At 46.7% G+C, this 11,233-nt stretch overlaps 1 protein-coding gene across 3 annotated transcripts in view; it reads left to right on the top strand.

Annotated features, from left to right (window-relative positions):
* CFAP298-TCP10L (CFAP298-TCP10L readthrough) overlaps positions 1-11,233 on the top strand; it is a 48,886-nt gene that overhangs the window by 13,406 nt on the left and 24,247 nt on the right. The window lies entirely within an intron of this gene.

Raw genomic sequence — 11,233 nt, 5'->3', positions numbered from 1 at the left:
TCCCAGACGGTTGTACTAAGCACTTTACCTATATATTCTTTTCGTTTATACCTAAAAACAGCCAAATTAGAAAGAAACTACTATTGTCATCTCACGAGTTAGGAAACCAAAGTCCAGAGGGATTAAATTGCCCAAGGTGAGGAGACTGTAATCCCAGCACTTTGGGAGGCCAAGGCGAGTGGATCACCTGAGGCCAGGAGTTCGAGACCAGCCTGGCCAACATGGTGCATGGTCTCTACTGAAAATATAAAAGTTAGCTGTGCATGGTGGTGTGTGCCTGTAATCTCAGCTACTCGGGAGGCTGAGGCAGGAGAATTGCTTGAACCCAGGAAGCAGAGGTTGTGGTAAGCCGAGATCATGCCATTGCTCTCCTGGGTGACACAGCGAGACTCCATCTCAACAAAAAAAAAAAAAAGAAAAAAAAAAGAAGAAGAAGAGACACCAGGGATCTATGTACACAGAGGAAAGGGACAGGGAGAAGGCCGCCATCTGCAACACAAGTAGTGGGGCCTTGGGAAGAACCAGCCCTGCCAATGCTGTGATATTGGACCTCCGGCCTCCAGAACTGTAAGAAAATCAATGTCTGTTGTTTAAGCCACCCAGTCCATGGTATTTCGTTATGGCAGCTCTTACAAACTAAGACACAAATGGGTATTCTATAGGAATAGATATATATACAAGGAAGATAGACATTCTTCCTTTTATCAAAGTGGACTTTACTTCTTAAAATGCTCAGAATATACTAACATTGTAAAATATAATTTTAATTTTTTTTTGCAAATGGGAAACCACACAGTTCCAGTATCATCTACATAATCTGTTTCTGATTCTTGCCCAACTCCCGCAGCCCATGTTAAGGTTGAGAGCCCACTCCCTCCTCAGTTCCCAGGTTTCCGAACACACCTCCTTCTTCATCTCCCATTGAGCTGGTTGTAATCATGGCATTCGGTTACAAGTCTGTCTCCCTGGATGGACTGTGAGATCATGGGAACGAGGGCACTGTTGTTAGATTTTTAATTTTATTGTATTTATTTGTTTGTTTATTTTGAGACAGGGTCTCACTCTGTTACCCAGGCTGGAGTGCAGTGGCATGATCTTGGCTCACTGCAACCTCCACCTCCCGGGTTCAAGCTGTTCTCCTGCCTCAGCCTCCTGAGTAGCTGGGATTGCAGGCACGCACCACTGTGCCCGACTAATTTTAGTATTTTTAGTGAAGGCAGGGTTTCACCGTATTGGCCAGGCTGGTCTCACTCCCAACCTCAGGTGATCTGCCTGCCTCAGCCTCCCAAAGTGTTGGGATTACAGGCGTGAGCCACCGCGTCCAGCCTCTACCATGGCATAGCACATATGCTCACATACTCTTAGAAAGATCACAAGAAACTGGTGACCATGGCTGCTTGTGGTTAAAACTCTAGGGGGCCTGGAGGATGGGCTGGGAGGGAGTCACGGTTCACAGGATGGTCTTTTGTACCTTTGAAATCCACCTATTCAAATAAATGCAAAACCAGTTGCAGTACAGCCACGTCCACGGCAGCATGATTCACAATAACTCAAACGTGGAGGCAACCCAAGTGCCCATCCACAGATGAATGAGTCAACAAGAGGATGAATGAGTCAACAAGAGGTGGTGTATCCGTACAATGGAATATTATTCAGCCTTACAACGGAAGGGAATCCTGACACATGCTCCAACAGGGATGAACCTTGATGACATTACACTGAGTGAAATAAGCCAGATACCAAATGACAAATACTGTAAGATTCCACTTATACGAGGTTCCTAGAGTAGTCAGATCCAGAGACAAAGCAGAATGATGGTTGTTAGGGGCTGGGGACAGCAGGGAAGGATGGAGAGTTACTGTTTAATGGGTATAGAGTTTAAGTTTGAGAAGATAAAAACATTCTGGAGATGGATGGTGCTGATGGTTGCACAAGAATGTGAGTATCACTGAACTCTACACTTAAGAGTTTTTAGTTTTTAGTTTTAGCTGGGTTTGGGGTCCCAGGCCTCAGGCCTCACCTGCTGCCTCAGGATCTCCAGGGCCCTCCCAGATCACAGACCTAACAGATCTTAGGACAATTGGCCCAGGGTCATCAGCGCAATTGATGCAGCTCCCTCCCTCTCTTGTAGGACATTTTCATGGATGTTGGCATTTGGTATCAGAGCAGCTGAAGTTATTATGCATTTTCAGTGTATGTATTTATGTAGATAGTGGTACGCTCTTTTAATTTTTTTTTTTTTTTTTTTTTTTTGAGACAGAGTCTCAATCTGTCACCCCCCAGGCTGGAGTGCAGTGGTGCGATCTCGGCTCACTGCAATCTCTGCCTCCCGGGTTCAAGCAATTCTCTGCCTCAGCCTCTCAAGTAACTGGGATTACAAGCACCCCCCACCATACCTGGCTAATTTTTGTATTTTTAGTAGAGATGGGGTTTCACCATCTTGGCCAGGCTGGTCTTGAACTCCTGACCTCATGATCCACCCACCTCAGCCTCCCAAAGTGCTGGGATTACAGGCGTGAGCCACCGTGCCTGGCCATGATAGTGGTACACTCTTAAATGTTTAACAATAGCTTTCCCAAAATACATGTGCATATAAATACAGATGTAAGTTTGTTATAAATTTTGCTGATATCAAGGATATGTAGCATACAGCTTACAAGTAATAAGATATGCTGCACTCTCTATCATGAACTCCACATAACCAATTGATGCTCACAGAATGTTTTTGCTGATTTTTGTTGAAACACGATTTGACTAATCTAATTATATAGCAACCTGCTAACTCTTTTCCCTATACATTTATTTTCCTTAATCTGATTTGTGATGTAAACTATTTTCACCCTTGTATATATTACATACAAAACTGAAACCTCTTTCAGTTTCAGCACCGGACACCACCCACATGTGAGACTCCATAGTGAACATTTTCTCCATCACTTTCTTTTTCTTTTTTTTCTTTTTGAGACGGAGTCTCACTCTGTTGCCCAGGCTGGAGTGCAGTGGCGCGATCTCGGCTCACTGCAAGCTCCGCCTCCCGGGTTCACGCCGTTCACCTGCCTCAGCCTCCCGAGTAGCTGGGACTACAGGCACCTGCCACCAGGCCCGGCTAATTTTTTTGTATTTTTAGTAGAGACAGGGTTTCACTATGTTAGCTAGGATGGTCTTGATCTCCTGACCTCATGATCCGTCTGTGCTTCTGGAGCCTCTGGAGCATGTCTCCTGACGCCTGGAAAACAGCTACCCAGGGGCAGCGTCTGCAGGCACTGAGTCCAGCACAGGTTTCTGAGCTCCAGGCCACACAGAGTACGTCAGAGCACCCTGCGTGGAGCAGACGAATCCGCATCTGCAACGGGCTCCAAATACAACCCGCATCCCGACCCCGGGCACAGAGTTAGGGCCCAATAGAGCTGGGCCAGAACAGTTATTCATGGTCTTCAGAATTCATGTTTGTGAAATGCAGGGCCCATGTCTTGTAGGGGTAACAGGAGCAGTGTTTAGAGCAGAGCACAGGGCCTGTACCCATCAGGTGTTATTACTATGAGCTGCCTTTATTCGTGCTCAAGTTATTGAATGTGAACAAGTTTAGTGTCCAACACCGTGGAACAAGAAGTCCAACACCGTGATGCAGGATTCATCGAATGTGGGCGTCCCTCCTACCTCTCCACTGGCCCCTGTGACAGTCGATGCCTGACCTTACCTGTCAGTTCAATGTGTAAAAGCACAAAAGTAGATTCCTTGATTGTGCCAATGCCACAGAACAGAAGGGGGTGGTGCTGCAGGTTATTCCTGTGTTTCTAGGAAGGCAACAACTAGATAGAATCGAGCAGAATGGATTTCATCTAGTGCTTGATGGAAATAACAACCCCCACATGGCTTGTCATACACACAAAATGCAGAGAAATATGCAGCGTTCTGGAGTTTCCTGCACGCTGTCCCATGGGTTCCCCCATTTACTCTTCATACCAACTGGCTGATGGGTCATGGTCCCTGCAGATACAGGAACTGAGCTCAGAGAGAGGCCGTGTCTTCTGCAAGACCCCCGGCCAATGAGAGGGACTCAGGCCTGAGCACAGGTTTCTGAACCAGAGTCTCGCCTCTCACCTCCTCAAACCTCCCTGCTTCCCTTCCCACCAAGTTATAATTGAGTGATTGTGCATCCCGATTGTGGTCTTCCAAAGGCACTTAACGTGATCGCACTTTCCCCTTCAATTTCTCACCAGTTAGCTTGTAAATGACAAAGTCTGCCCCATGGAGAGAGCCTTCTTCAGATTTTAAGATAAAGACATCAGTAGTGCAATTAAAAAGATGAAGACAATGAAAATAATTATTTAGTAGGATAATAAACGGAATCTGGGCAGAGTCGTGCTGAGCAGCTATGAATTGCATCAGCACATAACGTACTGGCCGCAACTCACTGTGCAGAATGGCCAGGCCACAGGCTCGGGCTCCCCCGACACTCCACTTCCCATGGGCATTTTCCCCACTGGCCACTAACATCAGATGGGTTCACACTCATGAAAGACACTTGGTGCCAAGAAACAGGTGCCTGCAGGGCTGGTATGACATAGGGACTCTGTGGTGCAGTGTGTGTGGCTGGTTGGCGTATTAGCAAGGATGAGGACACAGGTGTCCAGTAAGGACTGCTTGAACGAAGGTCCTTGATTCACAGAACAGGAACTGTGCTGACCGCCTGCCCTCCTTTATCCCAAGAAGAACTCCAACTGACATCATTACACACAGCATGAAATCCAAACCTTGTCATCCTCATCACAACGTAAATAACATGTTTGTACCGCACTTTGTAATTTTTAAGTCACCTTGGCATATAAACATACATTGCTTTTACATAAACACCTGTGCATAAGGGGAGGATATATGTGTGTGTTGACAAAAGTCAGGTCTACAGGACATGGGGCTGGTTTTGGTAAACCCCCCTGGAGAAGGGCCTAGGTGTGAGCCCTGGCTCAACCCCCAGGTCAGCTACTTGTCTTCAGGTCTGATCCTGAAGCCAGCTTCCCACATCCCACCCTAAATGGTGTCAGGCATCCTGAGAGGAAAAGGCAGTGTGGGGCTCTCCCCGGCGGCGGGGGGCGGTGGGGGGGGAATCTGTTCCTAATCCAGAGCTCTGTGCACAGGGCCTTTGGGAGTCTGTGTGCCTGCTGTGGATGGGAGATCCTGCCCCTGTATCTTCCGTGGAGAGGGCACGTAGCTTTCGGCAGATGACAGACGCTGGAAGTGAATAACACCCCTCCTTTATTCAGTCTGAAAGTACTGTTTGCCTCACTAGAATTCTGTGTCATAAGAACCCCCAGACTTGCATGGCCTCACTGTGACAGCTGGATCTCAGCTCCCTGTGACCCCTCTGAGGCAGTCAAGGCAGGTGTCCTTATCCCCTTTGTGTCTGACGCCCCCAACAACCCTCAGGGTCAATGATTCACTAGAAGGATTCACAGAACGTTACTGTTTATTATAGCAAAAGGACACAGATTAAAATAAGCAAAGGAAAAAGGTGCTTGGGACACAGTCCAGGAGAGGCCAGCTGTGAGCTGCCCGCCGTCCTGACCTGAAGGAGACACCAGTGCACTTAATTCTGTCGGCAACAACTGTGCCAGTGTGCACATAACACCACCTGCCAGGGAAGCCCCCGAGCCTTAGGGTCCAGGGCTTCTCCTGGGAGCCGGTCACATAGGCCTGAATCATTCCGCTGGCTAATCCTAGTCACCCAGTCCAGCTATCCCAGAGGTCAAATTGATGTAGTGTGGCTCTAGGGTCCACATAAATCACTGTTAACATGAACTCCATGAACTCTTGGCCATGGCTGGAGGCCGCAGGTAAACGTAAACACTCTTATCAAGCAAGATAATCCAAGGGCTCAAAGGGTATCCTCTGGGAAGAAGGACAGGGCCAGACCTTTCTCTGAATGTGCAGGGTTTGGACACCCCAAGCCTGCTGAGTTAACCCTTTACCACACATCCTTGTGCAAATGAGGAGGCACACTAGGAAGTTTTTAATAGGCTTGCCCGAGGCTGGGCGCAATGGCTCACGCCTGTAATCCCAGCACTTTGGGAGGCCGAGGCAGGCAGATCACGAGGTCAGGAGATCGAGACCATCCTGCTTAACATGGTGAAACCTCGTCTCTACTAAAAATACAAAAAATTAGCCGGGCGTAGTGGCGGGCGCCTGTAGTCAGTCCCAGCTACTCAGGAGTCTGAGGCAGGAGAATTGCTTTAACCTGGGAGGCAGAGCTTGCAGTGAGCCAAGATAGCGCCGCTGTACTCCAGCCTGGGCAATAGAGTGAGACTCCTCAAAAAAAAAAAAAAAAAAAAAAAAAAAAGAGATAACAGCACAAACTGACCTCAGCATGGGCTGGGACGATCTCACGGCATCCGGGCGGGAAGTCTCAGCCAGGGAGTCGGGCTGGGGTGGTCTCTGGGCTTCGGGGCTGTAAGAGCCAGGGAGTCGGGCTGGGCCTCCGGACATGAGGCTCTGGACACAGCGTTTGCTCTTGAGACCAGGTGCCCCTTGGGCCCACTCAGATTTTATTTTTTTACAGATTTTTGCCACTTTCCAGGTGGTCGTTCTTTGTCCTCCTGAGCTTGGGCCTCGCTCCTTGGGACCCCTGGACCAGAACCCCAATCAGCTCAGGAACAGGCTTCTGGCAGATGAGCCCGGCGGCAGTGGAGCGAGAGATGCAGTGAGCAATGTGGCTCCATAAGCACAGTACAATGCATATCCTTTCAGCCACGTCTTTGTTTATTTCATTAGCTTTGCTTTATGAAATATTTCAAGAACTGGCATTGTGTGCAAGGCTCTAGAAGAATTTTTTGCATGTGTTTGATTTTAATTTTCTCTGTTTGCTTTTTAGTAATTAAGAGTAAAGTCAACCAAGAACATTTTACATTCTTTTTGTTTTCTTTCTAGACTTGCTAGGCCAGGAATTGAGGAAAGGAAACAGTACTTGGGAAGAATTTGCTAAGGAACAACTTAAAGTGGATTTTCCAATAATAGAAAATTGCATCTGGCTACACAGGGCACAGGTGCAGCTCCTTGGTGTAGATGGGCTACGGGGTCGTTTTGTCCACCCATAGGGAATATGTTTGTATCCTGTACAAAATGTGATCCTGTCACCTTGTCAGTGGCCTGAAGAGTTGCAGCAGGAAGAGGGTTGTTTTAAATTCTGATCGAAACAGACTTTCTGTGAGCCTGGATTCTGTGAGGTGCTGCCTGATTTCTCTCCAGCTCCAGGCCCTTGGATCCTGCATTTTAGGGACAGCCCCTCGTTTTTGTTTCTCTGGCTCGCGGCTGGCGTTTCTTCCCCAAGCTGTAATGCTCGATGAGTTGGGCCCTTGTGTGGTTAAGTGGTGGGTTCCTACAGGGGTCGGGAGGAGGGAGGTCAGGACAATTTTTAAATATTCCTTTTTCATGTATCTATAATCATACAACAACTGAAATGACACTGACACGTAAGTCCCCACAGTTTGGGAGGCTTAGGGAGAAAGAGACTGACTTGATACTCAGAAGGCAGAGAGGTGACATCTAGGGGAGGTGGGCCTGCCCCTCATATGCCCAAATCCCACAATAGAGAGCTTCACTATGGCAGAGGGAAGGAGAGAAGAGGAGCTGGTGGTCACAGAGGACCTCATTCAGGACTAGCTGGGCCCCTCAACCTGAGACCTTCCATGGGGTGGAGGAGTCAAGGGAGCATTTTAAATTATGCCCTAAACTAAAATATCTTGGCTACAGTAAACCAGACATTCTCCAGTACTGGAATCCTTGCCCCGTTCCGCTCTCCTCATAACTCCAATTACCCGATCTAACTTTTCCCCCTTGACTATCAACCTTGTGCAGCGAACTCTTCCTCTGTATCTTCAGTGCGCCGCTTATAGCTTGGCTTCGAGCCCACAGTTTCCGATGCCTCCTGCATTAGGGCACCTGGTCAGCCATGCCATAGACCCAGTGCATCCGAGAGGAGACTCTCCCCTCTGCGGGCTTCCCCACTGTGCAGCCACTCAGCCTCCTCCTTCCTCTCTGGCTGGAAATGTGAGACCCATCCTGGCTCAGATGCCCCTTCATCATCAGAGCCTCATCAATCTCTGGAACCTGCATTTCTGTCTGTGCAGAGTTAGTAGTGCTGGTTATTTCTTCATATTTCTGCTGCTTACTGTCAGCCATGTTTTCTTAAAGTGTTATTCTCGGCACCTCATCAGAGTAACTTGGGGCGCTTGTTAAAAATTCACATTCTCAGCCCGGGACTATTGAATCCGAATTTATACGGGTGAGGCCTAGAAATGCACATTTAAGAAGAGTTTCTGCCGTAACAAATTACCGACACGTAGTGGTTTAAAACAACAATCGTGTTCTCATACAGTTCTGTATGTCAGAATCCTGGCTGAGTCTCGTGGAGCTACAGCCCAGGCCTTGGCAGGCTCATTCGTTCTGGAGGCTGGAGGTGGGCTCTGCTTCCTTGCCCTTTCTGGGGCTGAGAGCGCCTCGGCTCCTGGTCCCTTCCTGTCTTCAGGCAGAGTGAGCCTCTTCAAACCTCTCCCCTCCCTCCCTCCCTCCCTTCTTTCCTTCCTTCTTTCCTTCTTTCTCTCTCTCTCTTTCTTTCCTCTTTCTTTCTTTTTCTTTCTCTTTCTCCTTCCTTCCTCCCTCTCTCCCTCCCTACCTCTCTCTTTCTTTCTTTCTTTCTTCTTTCTCTTTCTTTCTTTCTTTATTTCTTTTTCCTTCTTTTTCAGACATTGTCTCACTCACTCACCCAGGCTGGAGTCCAGTGCCACAATCTCAGCTCACTGCGGCCTCTGCCTCCTGGGCTCAAGTGATCCTCCCACTCCAGTCTCCCGACTAGCTGATTTTGTCCCATGATTTTGTAGTATTTCAAGACCAGTATTATGAATATTAGTTTTCATTTTTCTGGCAACTATTTAGTTCTGGCTAACAGAGCACTGACTGGATAAGTATCAGGTCACAAAATATTTACCATGGGTTCATATGATGTGGTAAACTTGTGTCTTTCATGGGGGCTTTTAGCTAAAGCAGTAATTAGAGGTATTGTAAGATGAACCCCTTAGCTAATTGCAAGCTGTACCTGACGTCTCCCATGAAGACAAGCAGCCAGATCCTGAAATTCATGACTGATGACTTGTGAAAGTCTAACGCATATTCTGCAATGATGTGCCATGGGCCTCTGCCATTTCACCTCACCATCACGCCACAAATTAGTACTCACAGCTGAGAGTTTAGACCTAAAAGGGGCAATAAAATTGAGTTCAAATACTGTATTAAGGGACTTGCCCAAAATTACATAATTATTTTGTGTAAAGTCCAAATTATACAAATCCTCAGATTCCGAGGTCGGGGTTTCTTTTCCTGTAACATGTTCCTTCAAATATGGCTGTATCCATGTTTCATATCAAGCAGATCCGAGAAAAATTATGAATAATCAGATAGCATAATGTGGACACAGGGTCACGAGCAATAAAGGGTTCTTATAGAGCTATTAGGAAGAGCATGGTGCCTGCGAGCAGTAGGAAGATTGTTTTATGTATTTATTGGCCTTATAACTATGGTTTAGAAGTGGCAGGAACCCACAGAGGTATACCTACAGAAAGACTTAAAAGAAATAAAACTCCCAGCCTCAATGGGGTATCATGCCACCCTCAGTACCACTATCTCAATCTTAGGCTTCATACACATACCAAGAAACTTCCCACTTCTTTTAATACAAGAACTTTCAGATTTTAAAAATCTTCTCAGGATTCTCTCTCCTCTGTGACCTCTTCAGCAATGGTATTGGAAGTCATGGGTTGATGTTATCTGGCTGAGGGGTTTATCTAGAAATGTCTCCTGACTTCAGGTCTCTTTAGATGTAAGTTAGCTTCTTCCTCTGTCCGTACTCAGTCTCAGCTGGTCACTGACTATGTAATTTCCTTTCTAATCAGTTGGGTCCTACTGCAGAAACAAAATAACACAACGTAGAGTAAATACATTATTGGGATGGCTAGCAGTCATTGGGCATTTTTCTCTGTTCATTATCTTGAAGAGCATACTGTACTCCCTCAATTCATTTTAAACAAAAAAACTTTAGAATGTAATTAACGGAAATTCTCACTATTGTGGATTGAGTCGTTTTTATATGTTGCCTTACCACTTTGCTTAAAGGGGCAATGTCTTTCCTTATTCTCAACCTTTACGAAATATTGTACAGAGAACATTTTTAAAGAGTGTGTAATCCCAGCACTTTAAGAGGTTGAGACAGGTGGATCACTTGAGTCCAGAAGTTCGAGACCAGCCAGTGCAATATAGCGAGACCTGTCTCTACCAAAAATTCAAAAATTAGCTGGGTGTGGTGGTGTGAACCTGTAGTTCTAGCTACTAGGGAGGCTGAGGTGGGAGGATTGCTTGAGCCTAAGAGGTCAAGGTTGCAGTGAACCGAGATGGTGCCACTGCACTCCAGCCTAGGCAACAGAGCAAAACCTTGTCTCACAAGAAGAAGAAAAAAAAAAAAAGGAGTGTGTCACTTATAACATTCAGACTCAGCTCATAAAATCCAAAAGAAACATGGAGTTTTGAGTGTGCTGAAATGCACCACTGACGGGACAACTAGAAAATGAGTAGAAAATCTTTATCTGTTTTGTTTTTTTTTGAGATGGAGTCTCACTCTGCCGCCAGACTGGAGTGCAGTGGTGCCATCTTGGCTCACTGCAGCCTCCACCTCCCAGGTTCAACCAATTCTCCTGCCTCAGCCTCCCAAGTAGCTGGGACTACAGACGCGTGCCACCACACCCAGCTAATTTTTTTTATTTTTTTATTTTTAGCAGAGACAGGGTTTCACCATGTTGGCCAGGATGGTCTTGATCTCTTGACCTTGTGATCTGCCCACCTCAGCCTCCCAAAGTGCTGGGATTACAGGCGTGAGCCACCATGCCCGGCCGAAAATCTTTATCTTTTGGTTCTATCATTGTACACTACAGCTACTGGTAATAGTATTAAGGCATATTTTACAATTCATATTTGGATTCGATCACAGGGCTCACACTCTCTTATCTTCACCTCTCACAAGTTTTGCCATAAGAATTTTGTGGTAGTTTGAGGAACTCAACACAGCTGCAAGTATTTCGCTGGAATCTACTATGATCTGTGTCACTTGAGGCACAGAGTGAGCTCATGTCATTCTTTGGATGACATGCACCCCTCCCTAACTTATTCCGACATTTAGTCATCCAAGAATTCACTC

This window comes from Homo sapiens, chromosome 21, assembly GCF_000001405.40.
Source record: "Homo sapiens chromosome 21, GRCh38.p14 Primary Assembly".
NCBI classification, from domain to species: Eukaryota; Metazoa; Chordata; class Mammalia; order Primates; family Hominidae; genus Homo; species Homo sapiens.
The sequence above is the reverse complement of the archived record's forward strand: the minus strand, read 5'-3'. Positions and strand labels throughout refer to the sequence as shown.